At 55.4% G+C, this 19,173-nt stretch overlaps 1 protein-coding gene across 7 annotated transcripts in view, besides 2 other annotated features; it reads right to left on the bottom strand.

Annotated features, from left to right (window-relative positions):
- The window catches only part of PPP2R3B (protein phosphatase 2 regulatory subunit B''beta), a 52,975-nt gene extending 34,801 nt beyond the window's left edge, over positions 1-18,174 (bottom strand). For 4 of the 7 annotated variants that reach the window (NM_013239.5, XM_047442001.1, XM_047442004.1 and 1 more), the window contains exon 1: positions 17,635-18,174. In NM_013239.5, the coding sequence (NP_037371.2) occupies positions 17,635-17,958 (324 nt within the window). In that variant the 5' untranslated portion in view covers positions 17,959-18,174. Of the gene's footprint in view, positions 1-4,798; positions 7,477-16,308; positions 16,373-17,634 lie in introns of those variants that run through there. The other 3 variants (XM_047442006.1, XM_047442002.1, XM_047442005.1) reach the window with 2 other exon arrangements.
- Positions 4,240-4,422: a silencer, noted in NCBI's record as "fragment chrX:333708-333890 (GRCh37/hg19 assembly coordinates)". NCBI's record gives its function as "represses an EF-1alpha promoter that drives an FKBP-Casp9 reporter gene in an ReSE screen in K562 erythroleukemia cells {active_cell/tissue: K562}" and the evidence as "EXISTENCE:reporter gene assay evidence [ECO:0000049][PMID:32094911]".
- Positions 6,417-7,307: an enhancer, noted in NCBI's record as "H3K27ac-H3K4me1 hESC enhancer chrX:335885-336775 (GRCh37/hg19 assembly coordinates)". NCBI's record gives its function as "activates a minimal SCP1, AML or CMV promoter by ChIP-STARR-seq in primed H9 embryonic stem cells {active_cell/tissue: H9 hESC(primed)}" and the evidence as "EXISTENCE:reporter gene assay evidence [ECO:0000049][PMID:30033119]".

The following is a 19,173-nucleotide window of genomic DNA, read 5'->3' on the forward strand; positions in this document are numbered from 1 at the left end:
TGGGCACCGACGGGGGGAAGGCCGGGACCACCCACCTTGGGCACCGACACGGGGAAGGCCGGGACCACCCACCCCGGGCACTGACGGGGGGAAGGCCGGGACCACCCACCTTGGGCACCGACCGGGGGAAGGCCAGGACCACCCACCCTGGGCACCGACGGGGGGAAAGCCGGGACCACCCACCATGGGCACTAATAGACGAGAGATGGAACAAACAACACAACCACCCCATGCGGGCACAGAAGATTTACAAGCTTAATCTCATGGACAGAAATAGACTCGGCCCCAGCACAGCTGCAGAGCACACATTCTTTTCAACACACACAGCTCACTTGGGAACTGGCCACCTCTCGGGCTGAGCTGCAGGTCTCAGGGGGTTCTGAAGGAATCACAGGGACTGCTGCCCTGCCCCAAACGTAGCCGGTGAGGCCAGGCATCTACGGTAAACACAGAAGGAGCAAAAACAGCTGCATGTATGTGGAAGAAGAATTCTAAAGCCAGCCGCCTGTTCATTAAAAAGTTCAGACAAACCAGAGGGGCCTGTGGCGGCCAGGTCATCCACTTTAAATCCTCCTCAGTACGTGTACTTTAAAAAGAACTTCGTAAAGAGCCCGTCACCCAAAGCGCACTGATAAAGGCGACACCCTGACTCCCAACAAGCTATTTCTGTTGAGGGCACTGAGAAGGCAGCTCCCTGACTCATCACAATTCCAGAAGTCACAGATACATGTGTCGCCCTTCCAGAGTACACCCACAGTTTTGCAAAACACGTCCATATACGACCAAAAACAAAGGCTGAGCCTAACACTGAGGCTGCCTGTTTTTGCGTAGAAGTGCGTGCGCTTGATGGGTGCAGGTGAGTGTACCCCGAGAACACAGGCCACGTGCACCGTGACACATCCTCTCGCGACACCAGCCTCGGGCAGACCCCCGCATGTGCAGAGGGTGCGCACAGCAGGCAGGGCGCGGTGACCAGCAGAAATGACCCTCGCCCCCACGGCAGCAGGACCGGACACCACGATCAAAGCCACAGAGGAGGTGCCGGAGCAGCAGGGGGCCGGCGGAAGGGACGCTCAGTACGGGCTGCAACGCACAGCCGTGCCCCCAGGAGCCCCCGCTCTGCAGCGGCCCCCACTCTGCAGCGGGAGGCGGAAGCACGGGAGGCTGTGGTATGGAATCAGGGACGGGGGGTTTGGCCGGGACGCACACTCATGGATTCCAGCTGAGCCCCTCGCCCACCCAGATGACGGCCACCCCCTGGAAGGCAGGGCCTGCTGCAAGCTCTGAGCATTCTTCTCGGCCCAGCACTTGACTCCCAGGGACCCTCTGAGAGGGCTGGTAGAGGGCTGCCAGCTACACCTGCAAACCGCACGCTGGACGGCTAAACACAGGAGTCAAAAAGGTCGGTGTTTACACAGAGGAGCCGAACACGGAGATGAGAGGCCCCACGTGTGGGTTTAAAAATCCCCTCTCTAGCAAAGAGGGAGAACTGGTGTGGAGGGGTCAACACAGAAACGCAGCAGGTGCAGGTGTCTGAGTAGGCCAGAGCTCACGTGGGCTAACATTCACTCAGACACATGACTGCAGCCGAGCAACCGGGCCTCAACGGACGCTGAGAGACGTCGGCTGGGGCCTGCACCCACACCTGCAGCCCAGGCACTGGCGCCTGCAGCCACGGCTGCAGCGAGGCGTGAGTCTCCACAGAGCTCGGAAGGCTGGGCTGGGGGACGTGGGGATCATTCTGTCCACCAGCCAAGGGGTGACGGTGGATGCCGCGCAACACAGCGAGGGGAGGATCCGGCACCCTCCCTGCGTCCACAAGCCCCTGGCGGATGCTCCTGAGCTTGGTCTTCTGTGTGGACGTTCCCACCCGGGCTTCTGTTTCCCGTTAACCCCCCTTGCTGCAGCTCCCTGCCAGGTGGGGAACCCAAGCCCTGCCTTCTCCCTGCCACTGCCCAGGGAGTGGCATCCTGGGCAGCGTCCTGGCCAAACCAAAGGCTGCAAGGGTTTTGGTGACCACTGGCCTTGGGAGGGGAACGGCACGTGCCCTGGCGGTGAGAGCAGGAGGTGCGTCAGGGACGCCCAGAGCCCAGGCTGTCACCACGCTGAAGTCAGTTCCAAGTACAGCGGGGCTGCCGCGTAGGGGACGGCGCTTTCAGCCATGCGTGGTGCCGTGTAGGGTCTGTGCGTCCACCCGAAGGACCCCGTGGGGACGCCGGACAGTGTCTGTGTGACCAGGACAGGTGAAGAGGGGCGTCTGTGTGCTGAGTCAGTGTGTGGGGAGCGGGAGAGTCACTCCCCAGGCGGGGAGGGCCAGGCTAGGCAGCACAGCTGTCCTGGGCTGGGAACAAGGTCTGAGCTGTCCTGCTGTTGCCCGGGGACAGAAGGCCCGAGAATCCCTGGGCAGGAGGCGCAGGCAGTGGCTCCGGCAAGAAGAGCTCAGCCAAGCAGCTGCACGGCCCCACTCCAGGTACATGCTGGGTCCTACAGTGAGAGCATGAGCCGTGTAACACGCCATCGTCACACGGGAGCCTCCCCGGACCCACGGTGAGAGTACGTGTAACACGCCATCGTCACACGGGAGCCTCCCCGGACCCACGGCGTGAACGCATGCTGTTCCGTTCCCAAGGCCGGCGGTCGCTGAACGCCCCCACCCCCCGAGTTTGGTTTGTCAAGGATGCCGGTGACAGGGAAGTGGGCAGTGGCAGGGAGGAGGAGGAGCTTGGGTTCACCATCGGGGCAGGCAGCACCCGCCAGGGGGTTAGTGGGAACAGAAGCCCAGGTGGGACGTCGCACAGTCAGAAGATCAAGCTCAGGAGCACCCGCCAGGGGCTCGTGGGTGCGGCCAACGTTGGCCGTGGAAGGCTGTGCCCGTCAGAGGACCCCTGAAAACAGTACCGTGCTGCCCGGCCGGGAGCGTCCGAAGGCGGAGGTGCGGCACCCCAACACGTCCAGTGGCTCCAACACGGGTGCTCCCTGACAACCCTGAGGGTGTGTCCAAGTGGGGTGGACCCAACAGACAGAGCCCACACTCATGCGCGGAGTGAAAGCAGCCAGGAAACGTCCCCTTCTCCCCCAACACCACCCCCACAAATACCCCCAAATATGCCTGTAATTCCTCCACCACCCCTCAGACAACATGCATTTCACACGTCTGTCCTCACTCCCTAAAAACGTGGAAACCTATTTTCTGTAAAATGAAGCAAACTTCTGTAAACGGAATTCATGATTTCCCAGAAACTGACTTTTTAAAAATAAACAGTCCTCACAGGTGCATCGTCACCACAGCCCCCCACAGAAGAGCCAGGGCCCCACTGCAGGGCTGAAGGGCTTCCTCATCCAGCCACGTGCGAGCTAATCACCTCATTGACTCTGCGACCAGCGAGCCCGCACCGCCCAGCACCTCCCACCATCTAGAGCAAATCCCGCACGAGGCTGATCTCGCTCTTCGCAGGTTAAGAGGATTTTAAAGACACCAGCCTCGCCCTTACCCACTTACAGGCAAAATGTCAAAACCTGGAAGACAGAGGTCAAAAACTCCGAAGGAGTGCAAAAGTTGATGTGAGATCTTACAGAAAAAATTTCAATTAAAATATCAACAGAAAGAAGTGGGTCTTCCTCCCCCTTCAAGCAGGATGCCTTGGTTCACCTTGATGTTAGGCCACTAGTTCCAGACTCCTGGAACTGAGTTTGAAAAGCGCGTCTGATGTGCCACGTGGGTGTGAGGCGCCCGCCACGCACACCCTGTCTGGATGAAATTCGGATCAGATTCGGCCGCAGCCAAACCCTAAATTCTCAAATTATACTGGGATTGTCACAGGAAGACTCTTACACGTTTAAATCACATGGTACTCGTAAAACTAACTCATACAATATACACGGGGTACAGACACAAATTTTACTTCCCTGAGCACTTATGAGAACTGAGATTAAATTTCAAAGCCAGCTGGGGTGGAGGCTCACGCCCCTACTCCCAGCACTTTGGAAGGCCCAGGTGGGCGATCACCTGAGGTCAGGAGTTCAAGACCAGCCTGGCCAACATGGTGAAACCCCGTCCCTACTAAAAATGCAAAAATTAGCCCTACTCGGGAGGCTGAAGCAGGAAAATCACTTGAACCCAGGAGGTGGAGGTTGCAGTGAGCCGAGATAGCGCCGCTGCACTCCAGCCTGGGAAACAGAGAGGCTTCGTCTCAAATAAATAAATATAAATAAATAAATTTCAAAGCCACTGAGTTACTGAATAAAACCACGCTGCATAAATAGTCCGGTATGTGAGTGATATCTCAACCGACTCTTAAGTTAGCCAGTGGGAAGGAATGCTGGGTATTGCAATAACGCCGGGAAAGTTTCACCCACCCGACGCCTTTACGAAGGGTGAAGGAGTTTCCCGATGTTTATTACCAGCAATGCAAGGTATATTTAAATTAAAAATCTGTCTGCAGCGAACACTCCCAGGCGCTGACGGCTCTCACCCGCCTTGGTTGATCACAGCAAGGCGCGCACTCACAGCCAAAACTCCCGGGAAAGGAGCGAGTGCTCTTTTCAAAGCCCGGTTTTCCTAACAAGCTTGGCACCGCTTCCCACAGAGCAGCACCCGGTTTTCGGCGGCGTGCGGCCCGAGCGGGTCCCCTGCGCCCACAACTGGCCCTGTAAATCTGGCGTTTGGGCCCCGCCACGCAACAACGGGTGCACGGCCAGCAGCGGCGAGCGGGGGCCCACGCGGGGCCGGGAGGGCAGGGCTCGCCGGGCCGGGAGGCCTCGCCCGGTGTCGGGCAGCCGCGGGGCGCGCGGGGCTGACCTGCTGGAAGGCCTTCAGCCGCTTCTTGAACCGAGAGGGCAGCACGAAGTCGCAGCCGCGGGCCAGTGAGGCCAGCTCCTGGCGCAGGTCGGGGTCCTGGCGCAGCGAGCGCTCGCGGAGTCGCATGCCGCCGGCGCGCAGGGCTCTCCGCGGGCCGGGCCGGGCGCCGCGCTCTCGGGGCAGGGCCGGGCCGGGGCCGGCGGGGCGCTGCAGGCGTGGCCCGGGCTCAGCGCGCTCCATGCGTCGCCCGCCAGGCGCTCTGGGGCCGGGGCCCGCGCCGCGCGCATTCCTCAGGCTGAGGAGGGCGCATGGCGCCGGGGGTGGGGGCGGCCGCCTCTCCCGACCCGCGACTGTGCAGACCCGGCTGCTCCCGGCGCTGCTCTCCTCTCCTCCTTCTCCGCTCCCTGCACTGCCCTCCGCTCCCTCCGGTCCTCTTCTCTCCTCTCCCCGTTCGCTCCGGGCTGGGCCGTCCGGCCGGGCAAGGGGGCGCTTTCTGCACCGCGGCAGCCGTCACGTGGCTCGCCCTGGAGCGCGCATCAACAGGTCCCCGAGAGGAGAGCCTGGGCGGAACGCGCATCAACAGGTCCCCGAGAGGAGAGCCTGGGCGGAACGCGCATCAACAGGTCCCCGAGAAGAGAGCCTGGGGACGGCCTCGGGGACCCAGGCGAAGGCGCTCCCCGCGAGAAGTGAGGTCCCCCCCCTCCACGACAACACCAGAGCTGGCTGCAGGCTCGGTGCCGACTCCGGCTTGCCCCTCCAGAGCACAGGGCACGCCAGGTGCAGCTGCGCCTCCACAAACACGCACGGCAGCCCAGACATCCCGGCAGCCCGGCATCAAAGCGCGCCGGCATCTCCGCCCCTCCCCAAACTTCAGGAGTTTCTAGAATACAGCTAAGCTGCAGTGGGCATCCAGGATCTCGTCTTCTCTGCCACTGCTCACTGTGATAACTGCGCTTGTTTGCAATCGTATTTAGAACAAGAAAAGAGGGGCGGTGGAAAAGGGGGACGGGCAACTTTAAATGAGGGTGAGCTGACATTCCGGGGGCCTGCACCTCGATCCCACCGGGAAGGAGACAGGATACCTTCGGGCTGAGGGTCAGAAACTGGCCACATCCCTGCCAGGCTGAACGCTGTCAGCAGAAAGCCTCCCGGGTCCCCGATCAGGAAGGTCCTGCGTGACCGCCTGCATCTGTTACAGTCAATAAACCTCCTTGGACGGGTCACTATCACCCCGAGTCAACAGCGTGCACTGGGCTCTCCCGCTGCCGCACGCTCTGTTGAGTCTGGAAAAACGCAGGATGACACGGATCTACCACTGTGGGGTCACGCAGAGGAGTTTCCCTGCCCTGAAAAACGTCTGTGTGGCACTGACGCACCCAACCCCCGCAAGCCCCGATCTGTTTCCTGTCTCCATCGTTTTCCTTTTTCCGAGTGTCCTAGACTTGGAACCAGAAGTCTGCAGCCATCTCAGACTGGCCTTTTCTTCTCCTGCAACCTTCCACACCACCTCTGACGCCCACCACAGCCCCCCACCCGCAAGGCCCCTTCCAACTCTTCTTAGGGGTACGCCCCTCTCCACTTCCTTCTCTTCCACCTCCTTCCCTTCTCCAGCCATCCTCGGATCCCTCCATCCTTCTCACTTCCTTACTGTCCTTGAGGATTCAGAAGTCGGCCTCTGACCCCCGGTAAGTCTCCAAAGGGAAGCTTTAAGACAGCACCAGAGGGAATGTGCTCAAACCACCAGGAGACGATTTAAACAAGTGCACCCAGTAACCCACGATGCGGGGCGCAAACTCACAGGGCAGAGGTGCCGCCCAGTCACCCACGATGCGGGGCGCAAACTCACAGGGCAGAGGTGCTGCCCAGTCACCCACGATGCAGGATGCAAACTCACAGGGCAGAGGTGCCGCCCAGTCACCCACGATGCAGGATGCAAACTCACAGGGCAGAGGTGCGGCCCAGTAACCCATGATGTGGGGCACAAACTCACAGGGCAGAGGTGCCGTCCCGTCACCCACGATGCGGGGCGCAAACTCACAGGACAGAGGTGCCGCCCAGTCACCCACGATGTGGGGCGCAAACTCACAGGGCAGAGGTGCCGCCCCTTCAGTTCATATCAGCACTACACACGGACGGCCTCCCAAACGCAGCTAGGGGAACCAGATTGGGAGCCAACCTCCTGTGATCTCCCTCCGAAAGTCAAAGATCAAACCCAAAATGCGGGGGAAGCGAGCCAACGGGCGCGATCCTCACACTCAGGCAACATGCCCTGTCCTGCCACGCCAGGTGACACACGCCCTGTCCTGCCACGGCGGGTGACACACACCCCTGTGGACTTTACTGCCAGGTTTCCTCTTTCCGTACAAGACTTTTGGAACACAGCCAGGCACAGTGGCTCATGCCTGTAATCCCAGCACTTTGGGAGGTCAAGGCAGGCAGATCATGAGGTCAGGAGTTCGAGACCAGCCAGGCCAACATGGTGAAACCCTGTCTCTACTAAAAATACAAAATTAGCTGGGCATGGTGGCGGGTGCCTGTCATCCCAGCTACTTGGGAGGCTGAGGGAGAAGAATCGCTTGAACTCAGAAGGCAGAGGTTGCAGTGAGCCGAGATTGCGCCACTGCACTGCAGCCTGGGGGACAAGAGCGAGACTTCGTCTCAAAAAGGAAAAAAAAAAAAAAAAGACTTTTGGAAAACAGCCTCAAAATCCTGAAGTGCACACATAGGCAGAGATTTAGACTCTGACCTGGAGCCCTCGAACCACCTCTGGATGCAGTCCCACTGCCCCCCTGGAGCCCTTGCGTCCTGTCCCGATGCAGAACCCGCACCACCCGCCCCCAGTGCAGCCACAGGGCTGTCTACACCGGATGGGGGAGGGACAGGGCTGTCCACACTCGACAGAGCCCCCATGGGGCCATCCACTACCGTGTACAGGGACGGGCCGTCCACAGTGGGGCCGCCATGGGGCTGTCTATACACTACTGTATGCAGGGACGGGCCGTCCACACCCAGTGGGGCCGCCATGGGGCTGTCTATACACTACTGTATGCAGGGACGGGCCGTCCACACCCAGTGGGGCCGCCATGGGGCTGTCTATACACTACTGTATGCAGGGACGGGCCATCCACACCCAGTGGGGCCACCATGGGGCTGTCTATACACTACTGTGTACAGGGACGGGCCGTCCACACCCAGTGGGGCCACCATGGGGCTGTCTATACACTACTGTGTACAGGGACGGGCCGTCCACAGTGGGGCCGCCATGGGGCTGTCTATACACTACTGTATACAGGGACGGGCCGTCCACAGTGGGGCCGCCATGGGGCTGTCTATACACTACTGTATGCAGGGACGGGCCGTCCACACCCAGTGGGGCCGCCATGGGGCTGTCTATACACTACTGTATGCAGGGACGGGCCGTCCACACCCAGTGGGGCCGCCATGGGGCTGTCTATACACTACTGTATGCAGGGACGGGCCGTCCACACCCAGTGGGGCCGCCATGGGGCTGTCTATACACTACTGTGTACAGGGACGGGCCGTCCACACCCAGTGGGGCCACCATGGGGCTGTCTATACACTACTGTATGCAGGGACGGGCCGTCCACAGTGGGGCCGCCATGGGGCTGTCTATACACTACTGTGTACAGGGACGGGCCGTCCACACCCAGTGGGGCCACCATGGGGCTGTCTATACACTACTGTATGCAGGGACGGGCCGTCCACAGTGGGGCCGCCATGGGGCTGTCTATACACTACTGTGTACAGGGACGGGCCGTCCACACCCAGTGGGGCCGCCATGGGGCTGTCTATACACTACTGTATGCAGGGACGGGCCGTCCACAGTGGGGCCGCCATGGGGCTGTCTATACACTACTGTGTACAGGGACGGGCCGTCCACACCCAGTGGGGCCACCATGGGGCTGTCTATACACTACTGTGTACAGGGACGGGCCGTCCACAGTGGGGCCGCCATGGGGCTGTCTATACACTACTGTGTACAGGGACGGGCCGTCCACACCCAGTGGGGCCACCATGGGGCTGTCTATACACTACTGTGTACAGGGACGGGCCGTCTACAGTGGGGCCGCCATGGGGCTGTCTATACACTACTGTATGCAGGGACGGGCCGTCCACACCCAGTGGGGCCGCCATGGGGCTGTCTATACACTACTGTGTACAGGGACGGGCCGTCCACACCCAGTGGGGCCACCATGGGGCTGTCTATACACTACTGTGTACAGGGACGGGCCGTCCACACCCAGTGGGGCCACCATGGGGCTGTCTATACACTACTGTATGCAGGGACGGGCCGTCCACACCCAGTGGGTCCGCCGTGGGGCTGTCTATACACTACTGTGTACAGGGACGGGCCATCCACACCCAGTGGGGCCACCATGGGGCTGTCTATACACTACTGTATGCAGGGACGGGCCGTCTACAGTGGGGCCGCCATGGGGCTGTCTATACACTACTGTGTACAGGGACGGGCCGTCCACACTTGACAGGACCACCACAGGGCTGTCTATACACTACTGTGTACAGGGACGGGGCCGTCATAGCATTGTTTTTGCACCACAGGCCAGCACGGAATCTGCGAGGCCTGTTTTCAGCCTGTTCCCCCCAAATTCCTACTCTGAAGAGACAACATTGCCATCTGGGCCGATGAAGCCCCTCACGGCACCCGAATCTCCACCGTCCCTCTGCTGTCGGGACACAATCTTACCATCAACCTCTAAAGGCTCCTAAAATGCCCAGAAGACCTTTATGCAAAATTTTCATAAAAATCTCTTCACTTTTCATTCTCACTAAACATACATTTGTTCAGACGGCTTGTTTTAGGATAAAAATGTGTCTTCCATGAGCAAACATAATGGCTTTTCTGAAATCCCAGATTTGAAAGGCTTACGAAGGCGACCTGCCCTTTGTGAGAAAAAGTTTTTCTGAACATCCAAAGCTAAAAGCATAGCTAGTAACAGGCAAGCCTATGAGACAGGAAGATGGCCCAGAATCCTGTCCTCACCCTGCAGGTGCCGTCTGCAGAGCACGGCTTCCTCCCTGTTTCAAAGGCCCTGAGAGGACAGGCTCCAGCGGATTCAAAACCCGTCCACCTCATCTCAGGAAACGGCATGGTTCTCTCTGTCAACAGAAGGGGAGGGAGGGATGAAGCTCTTTACACAGTTTCCATGGTTGCAGATTCTCGGAGGTTGCAAGAAGGGTTTTCGACACCTTCCTTCCTCCTCACAACGAGACTCTCATCGGTGCCCACTATGAAAACGTGAATAGGTCGTTGTTACGAAGGCAGTGAGAACTGAACGCAGACAGGCACGCACCTGTACAAAAGCTACAGTCCCTGGGCAAGCTCAAGGCTCCCGCACGAAACCTTCAGAAACCCTGAGCTCCTGCCCTGAGGGTTCTAGGTGCTTTTGTCTTACAACATGTTTGTTAAGAACTTCTAATGAAACGTTAAGATAACCACACCTGTATGTACATGCACCTGTGTGTGTGTATGCACCTGTGTGTTTGTGTGTATGCACCTGTGTGTGTGTATGCACCTACGTGTGTGTGTATGCACCTGTGTGTGCACCTGTGTGTATGCACCTATGTGTGTGTATGCACCTATGTGTGCATGTACCTGTGTGTATGGACCTATGTATGTGTGTATGCGTGTGTATGCACCTGTGTATGCACCTGTGTGTATGCACCTATGTGTGTGTGTGTGTATGGACCTATGTATGTGTATGCACCTGTGTGTATGTATCTGTGTGTATGGACCTATGTATGTGTGTATGCGTGTGTATGCACCTGTTATGCACCTGTGTGTATGCACCTATGTGTGTATGTACCTGTGTATGCACCTATGTGTGTATGCACCTATGTGTGTATGCACCTGTGTTTGTGCATATGCACCTGTGTGTGTGTATGCACCTGTGTGTTTGTGTGTATGCACCTGTGTGTGTGATGCACACGCACGCCCGTGTTTATCTCCAAATACCCTGTTCTAATGTTCTAGAATGCTGGCACCCGGTCTGATAAAAATCACAGGTTAGGTGGACACCAAAACTGAGTAGCTTCCAGAAATTAGAGAAGAACTAAATAAACAGATAGAAACTTAATCAAGGAGGTGCAAGAGGTGTACCCGGGGAAGTACACAACGTTGCTGAACAAAACCTAAATGAATGGAAAGTCCTTTGTTTGTGGATTGGAAAATACTGTTAAGGTATCAATTATCCTAAATTGATCCACAGATTCAAAGCAATCCCAATCAAAATTCCAACAGGCTTTTCTTGCTGGAAAGCAATTTTTAAAGAACAGGCTTGGACTCACAGTATCTGCTTTCAAAATTTGCTAGAAAGTTACACTAATCTGGAAAGTGCCATGAAGGTGAGGGGATGCACATACAGCAATGGGATGGAAATAATAATAAAACAGACGTACGTACTCAACTGACTTTCAACAACACAATTCCACGGGGGGAGAAAAGACTGTTCAATATACGGTGCTGGGGTCATCCAGATACCTCACCTCATACCACGCAGAAAAACTGACCTGAACTGGATCACAGGCCGAAACGCAAACCTAAAACCACACTGCTTTCTCAAGATAAATAGGAGAAAATATTTGACACCTTGTGGTATGCAAACATTTTGTAATAAGACACAAAAAATAAGAGTCATAAAAGAAAAAAGTTGAAAAACTAAACACTTTTGCTCTTTGAGACACTGAAGAAAACAAAAAGCAAGCCAGACTCAAGAGACATATGCACACACCACATTGTCTTACCAAGGACTTGCCAACAGTTGTATGTAAAGAGCTCTCGCAACTCAGTGATAACATAACCCAATTTAAAAAGCAAACACACGACCTGAACAGACGCTCGACAGTGGGAACCACATGAATGGCAAATAAGCACCTGAAAATTCCTCGGCGTCACCAGGCCGCAGGGAAATGCAATCAAAATCGTGCAGTACTGGCCGGGTGTGGTTGCCCTCGTCTGTCATCCCAGCACTCTGGGAGGCTGGGGCGGGTGGATCACCTGAGGTCAGGAGTTCAAGACCAGCCTGACCAACATAGTGAAACCCCATCTCTACTAAAAATACAAAACTAGCCGGGCGTGGTGGCGGGTGCCTGTAATCCCAGCTACTCGGGAGGCTGAGGCAGGAGACTCACTTGAACTGCAGGAGGTGGAGGTTGTAGTGAGCCGAAATTGCGTCATTGCACTGCAGCCTGGGCAACAAGAGTGAAACTCCATCTCAAAAAAAAAAAAAAAAAAAAAAAAAGCAGCTCATCCACATGAGGTTCTTAATTCCCCTTGTAAGAACTTACTTTAAAGATGCATTTAGGGTCCCCCCTAGCAGAAGCACCCTGGCTTGCAGCATCAGCCCATCGATACTGGCGTTTTCTTTCTTTTTTTTTTTTTTAGAGACAGAGTCTCACTTTGTTGCCCCGGCGGGAGTGCACTGGCACAAACATAGCTCACTGCAGCCTCGAACTCCTGGGATCTTCCTGCCTCAGCCTCACAAGCAGCTGAGACTTCAGGCATGAACCACCATGCCTGGCTGATTTTACTATTTTACAGAGATGGGGGAGTCTCGCTATGTTGCCCAGGCTGGGCTCAAACTCCTGGCCTCAAGGGATCCTCCCTCCTTGGCCTCCCAAAGTGCTGGGATTGAGCCACTGCACCCGGCCAATGCTCACATTTTCTAATTTGTACCAGTTTCTCTTCCCCAAAGACGGGAAGGAGCCACTGCAAGCACCCCTTTCAAACACAGAATGCAATCTCTCTGCTCAGTAACGATGAAGGCGTAGGTAACGTAAAACAATGCCGTTCCTTTCACCCTTGGCTGGGGAGTTCAATGGACCTAGCGTGAACCCTCCTGACAGCTCATACTCCATTCTGTACATGTGTGGGTGAGAAAAAGCTGCTTTATTTATGAAAATCTCTTCCTCTGACCCCAGCATCGCCCCTCCCCAGCCAGAGTTTGTAGCATGGAACTGCATCCTTCACTGTTAACGTGGCCTCGCGTATTCTGTATATGGGATGGACAGGAACAAGCTCATCTTTTTTTTTTTTTTTTTTTTTTTGAGACAGAGTCTTGCTCTGTCACCCAGGCTGGAGTGCAGTGGCGCGATCTCAGCTCACTGCAAGCTCTGCCACCCAGGTTCATGCCATTCTCCTGCCTCAGCCTCCGGAGTAGCTGGGACTACAGGCACCCGCCACCACGCCCGGCTAATTTTCTGTATCTTTAGTAGAGACAGGGTTTCACTGTGTTAGCCAAGATGGTCTCTATCTCCTGACCTTGTGATCCGCCCGCCTCGGCCTCCCAAAGTGCTGGGATCACAGGCATGAGCCACCGTGCCCAGCCCAAGCTCATCTTTTTTGTCCCAATGAACAGACACATCTTTCTAAGTTATTCACTTCTTGAGATTCAGCTGAAGTAAGCCATAGGTTCCAAACACGTAGACATGTTTAAGGTAAACTTTTAGTCCCAAACAAGGTCAGTCACTGCTTTTTGAAAATTCTTGCCATCTCCTAAGTGCAGAATCCTGCACCCTGCACACCCTGGCCGCCATGCCCACGGTCCACACGCATCCTTCCTTCTGCTTCTCCGGTCAGACCACTCCAGTCCCTCAACGTGACCTGAACATCTCATCTTTTTTTTTCTTTTTTTTTTTTTTTTGAGACAGAGTGTCTCACTCTTGTCACCCAGGCTGGAGTGCAGTGGCACAATTTCAGCTCACTGCAATCTCCGCCTCCCAGGTTCAAGTGATTCTCCTGCCTCAGCCTCCAGAGTAGCTGGGATTACAGGTGCCCACCACCACACCCAGCTAATTTTTGTATTTTTAGTAGAGACAGGGTTTCACCATGTTGGCCAGGTTGATCTCGAACTCCTGACCTCAGGTGATCCGTCCACCTCAGCCTCCCAAAGTGCTAGGAATTCAGGTGTGAGCGACTGAGCCTGGTCTCATTTTCACCGCCTCCCTTGGTCCTGCCCCCTATACCCAATAAACTCAGTGCATTTCTCAAGTTCCACTACTCACTTCCTCCTCAAAACTTTCTCCAGGAGAGAAATGATGTCTCCCTGCTTTGAACACCTTTGGAACTTAATTTCCACTTGTTAGAGGCTTCTTGCCTGATTTACAGAATATATCATCCTCTCACATGCACCCAAATGGCCTCGTTTGCACAGACCTGACCTTCCGTCAATATTCCCAGCCCTAGGAGAATTCATGCAAAGTCACAATAGTCCCAGCCCTAGGAGAATTCTTGCAAAGTCACACAATTCAAGCATTTACCTTAGCGTCTGGCTGTCATTCAACACGTTTAAGGACAAAATGGCAGCTCATTAGCGATCCCACTGAGAAAGCAAGTCATGGAGGGGAACCATCATTACTAGCACATGCTTCTTGAGTCCTGGCCCTCCTCTCAACCTCCTCAGTAAATGAGGGATTTGGGCAAGAGTTCCTAAGGTGCTTCAGGTTTTGCAGCTCACTGGGAAAGTGCACTGGGCCGGAGCTCAAGAGATGCGTCCTGGGGCCCTGAGTCCCCTCCTGGATCGGGATCTGGAGGGCCTGAGCCAGACGGTCTCCAAGCTGCCTCTAGCTCTAGTTCACATTTTCATCGACACGTACTTTTGGAAAATGTTCTAGATCCATCAGAAGACATCGGACAACCACCGGTAATTTAGAACGCAAGGAGCTCACCTCAGATTGCCACCCACCTCTCACTCAGCAAGTAGAGAGGCTGGTCCATTTTGGCTGGAAAACTGTGGTGCTACGTAAATATCACTTTGTGACATGCTTATTAGTGCTGCTGATGGAAAGCTGGTGTTCAGCTGAAAATTTTCAAATGGTATAAACAAGTTCCGACGGAACATTCTGAATATTTCAGGCTTCCGTAGTATTCTCGGGACACCAGACGCACCAGCCATACGTGTTTCTATAACATCTGGAAGCAATGTTTTATCGCTTTAAACTGCATAGTATAAAACGACAGAAAGCATTTTTAAAAATACACGGCTGTCGGCGGGCACGGTGGCTCACACCTGTAATCCCAAAACTTTGGGAGGCCGAGGCGGGCGGATCACGAGGTCAGGAGATCAAGACCATCCCGGCTAACACGGTGAAACCCCGTCTCTACTAAAAATACAAAAAAATTAGCCGGGCGTGGTGGCGGGCGCCTGTAGTCCCAGCTACTTGGGAGGCTGAGGCAGGAGAATGGCGTGAACCCGGGAGGCGGAGCTTGCAGTGAGCCGAGATCGCGCCACTGCACTCCAGCCTGGGGGACAGAGCGAGACTCCGTCTCAAAAAAAAAAAAAAAAAAAAAAAAAAAAAACCAAAAAAACAAAAAAACAACTAAGTTCCCAGTCATGACTGGATGGGAGTTTGGACACACCTTATTATACCCCTCCTGCTTTGGCAGTTTAAACACAACCAACCAGCAAAAAGGTTAAAATCAACATCGTAAGACTGACAGAACAGACTCTGTGGCAAACAAGACCAAGGGCCACCTGAGGTGAGGGTTAAGTCACACACCGCCTACACTTAAAGAATAAACTACAGTTCCAACTGCCAAAGCATTTCTTTTTCTCCAGCAGCTAAATGTCCTTTTAGGTTATTCACTAGAGACCTCTGCAGAAACTCGTTTTTGAGATTCAAGAAGTAAATAAAGGATGTTTTTCTTTTTCTCTATTGCTTATCTTGGCCTCAAGCTCGCGCACGCAAGAAGACTCTCTCTCTCTCTCTCTCTCTATATATATATATATACTTTTTTTTTTTTTTTGAGACAGGGCCTTCCTCTGTTGCTCAGGCTGGTGAGCAGTGGTGCAATCTCAGCTCACAGTAATCTCCGACTCCCAGCTTCAAGCATTTCTCCTGCCTCAGCCTCCTGAGTAGCTGAGACTTCAGGTGCGCCACCACGCCTGGCTAATTTGTGTATTTTTAGCAGAGATGGGGTTTCGCCATGTTGCCCAGGCTGGTCTCGAACTCCTGAACTCAAGTGATCTGCCTGCCTCCAACTCCCAAATGCTGGAATCACAGGCGTGAGTCACCATGCCTGACCAATATAAACAATATTAAAACACCTGCAGCTTCCTGTCAGATCCTGATGAACAGACCCCTCTGTTCCACCAGCCGTAACTACAGCTTTGACTGGGAAAAGACTGATTCCAGGCCAGGTGTGGTGGCTCACGCCTGTCATCCCAGCACTTTGAGAGGCTGAGGCGGGTGGATCACCTGAGGTCAGGAGTTTGAGACCAGTCTAGCCAACAAGGTGAAAGCCTGCCTCTACTAAAAATACAAAAATTAGCCGGGGGTGGTGGTGTGCGCCTGTAATCACAGCTACTCGGGAGGCTGAGGGAGGAGAATCGCTTGAACCCGGGAGGCGGAGGTTGCAGTGAGCTGAGATTGCACCATTGCATCTCAGCCTGGGTGAGAGTGAGAATCTGTCTCAAAAAAAAAAAAAAAAAAAAAAAACTGATTGCAATCACTTTATCCTGGTAACTACTCACCACGGACTGGTTCTGGCCGGTTGACAGAGGCTGCAGAGTTGCTTCACCTTTTGACCTAGGGGGCCTAACCATAATGCATTTAAATGTTAAGTCTCCGCTCCAAGGTGAACTCGGGAGTAGGTAACATGCATGTTTGTTCAATACCCATGCGTCAGGACACCCTTGGTGAATATCCATAGCTCTTCCTATAACTTCTTGAATATATACACTTGGCCAACCCACTCAGCATAAATTCCCGTCTCATCTTTTCTTCCCTCCAAGTGCTTGTTTTTAGTTTTCTTTTTTTTTTTTTTTTTTTTTTTTTTGAGATGGAGTCTTGCTCTGGTGCCCAGGCTGGAGTGCAGCCTCTGCCTCCTGGGTTCCAGTGATTCTCCTGCCTCAGCCTCCCGGGTAGCTGAGATTACAGGTACATTAGCCAGAGGCTGCGCTTCTCACCTGCGGTGTATAATCACCTTCTATGAAATAAATGGCGTTTCTTCTAAGAAATACAGTGGGATTTTGGGAGGCCGAAGCGGGAGGATTGCTTGGACCCAGGAATTCCAGAGCACTCTAGGTAACATAGCAAGACCTCGTCTCTGCAAAAATAAATAAATAAATAAATAAACAAAAATTAGCCTGGCGTGATGGTGCACGCCTGTAATCCCAGCTACTGGGGAGGCTGAGGCAGGAAGTCCAACTGTGTTTGCGCCACTGCACTCCAGCCTAGGAGACAGAGCAAGACCCTGTCTCCAAAGAATTGTAAAATAAATAAAAAACGGACCAGGCGCAGTGACTCACGTCTGAAATCCCAGCACTTTGGGAGGCCAAGGCGGGAGGATCACTTGAGGTCAGGAGTTCGAGACCAGCCTGGCCCACATGGGGGAAACCCAGTCTCTACTAAAAATACAACATCAGCCAGGCGTGGTGGCACGTGCCTGTAAGTCCCAGCTCCTCGGGAGCCTGAGGCAGGAGAATCGCTTGAACCTGGGAGGCAGAGGTTGCAGTGAGCCAAGATCGCGCCATCGTACTCCAGCCTGGGCAACAGAGCAAAACTCTGTCTCAAAATTAAAACAAATTAAAATAATAAAATAAAATAAAATAGGAAGCCTTTCTACCTTTATAAATTGTGTGATTTTTAGGTTAACAACTGTCAATGACGGAATGTTCAGTACGTGGGACTTTCTTGTCTGTATGTGTGTGGTGGGGGGGGTCGGGGCGGGGAACAGACTCAATATGAAACCGTTTTGGGGTCTGACGCTCGCCCACCAGCCTCCATCGCGCAGCCACACGCCCACTATGCGACCAGAGCCACCTGCGCAGTTGTTAGCAGAAGGAAGAGTAACTTACTACTCTCGTCCCTGCGGATCTACGGGTGCCTCGAACGTGGGGCGCGTTCCTGGGGCTGGAGGCGGCGCCCAGGGGCAGCGCAGGGCCCGGCCCGGGGGTTCCCGGGGGTTCGAGCCCGCTGGGCCGGGGGGCGGCGAGCGGGGCTGTGGGCCAGGCCCCGGGCTGCTCCCCGTCCCCCGGGGTCGGCTGGTCCCGCCCGGGCGCCTTGATCCGGCGCAGGCAGTCCTGCAGCATCCGCTGCGTGCTGGCCTCGCTGAGCCAGTACAGGAACAGCTCGTCCACCTTCATCTTCAGGACCGGCTGCAGCACTTTGCCGGGCGGCATGGCGGGGGCTGGGCCCGCGGCGCCCCCGGACGCCCGCGCCCCGCCCCGCCCCGGGGGCTTCGGTCCGCCCCGGACCGACCTCGGTGATGCGAGCACGGCCCGCTGAGGGGGCGCGGCGCAGGGAACAGGGCCCGCGCCTCGGGAACTGCGCGGACTCGCGGGGCGCGGGGACCGAGGAGGGGGCGCGGTCCGGCCCGCGCTGCTCAGGGCAGCTTCAAAACGGGCGCGCCGGCCGCGCTCCCAAACAAGGGCGCCCGCGTTCACGTCACTGCGTCGCGTCATCGCGACGATGTCATCACGAGGCGACGCCGCCGCTAGCCACGCGCGCCCCGCGGCCCTCGGAGCTTTTGCAGGAGGCTTTGGTGGGGCCGAGCGGCTGCGGTGAGGACGAGGGAGGGGCTGTGGCGGCCGTACCGCCCGAGCTCTTTCTGCGTTTAGGATTTTTAGAGGCGCGGCCCATGGCGGCGTGGCAGTCCTAGAGCTGCGGAAATGCGAGCATGCGCAATGCGTGCCTGCCAGAGCGAGGAGAGGGTGGAACCTCCGCATGGAGCATGCGCCGTGCATAGCGGTGGAGGAGCGGAGTTCGGGAGGCCGGTCGGGTGAGCGTGCGCAATGGCTGCCCGCGGGGCGCAAGCCAGAGGCTGGGAGGTGTGTGAGCGGGTGGGGCTGGAGGACGGGAGTGCGCCTGCGCAGTGGGAGGCACCGGGAACGAGCGAGCATGCGGGGTGCGCGCCCGCCGAGCTCGGGAGCGAGCGTGCGTCCTACGGGAGCGCGCGAGGAAAAGATCAAACTTTTCAATAACAGCGGGCTACCTGGGACCCAAAGGGCCCCGTTTACTTTAGCTTTGCTTATCAAACAGTAGAGACAGGTTGGAGGAGTTGGACCCCTTTAAACGTTGGTGTTCAGGGATGAGCGTGAAGTGCGTTGAAAATTGCAAAAATCATCCACGTCCAGGGAGGTGACATTAGTTAAATAACTTTACCCAATGGTCGTTTTTGTTTCTGCTTTTAACAGTATCCATAAAAACACTGCATTATCATCTGTCTGGCACACATGCACCTGTTTCCTTTACATCTTGCCCCGCTTTTTATTCATTTTTTATCAAAATAGGGTTTCACCTGGTGTTGCACCCTGTTAGAGAGTAATTTCAAGGTCTTTTATGAGCCAGGTTCTCCTACTTCTGAGCTGCATAAATCGAGCCAGACTCAATAAGTA

This window comes from Homo sapiens, chromosome X (assembly GCF_000001405.40).
Source record: "Homo sapiens chromosome X, GRCh38.p14 Primary Assembly".
Taxonomy (NCBI): domain Eukaryota; kingdom Metazoa; phylum Chordata; class Mammalia; order Primates; family Hominidae; genus Homo; species Homo sapiens.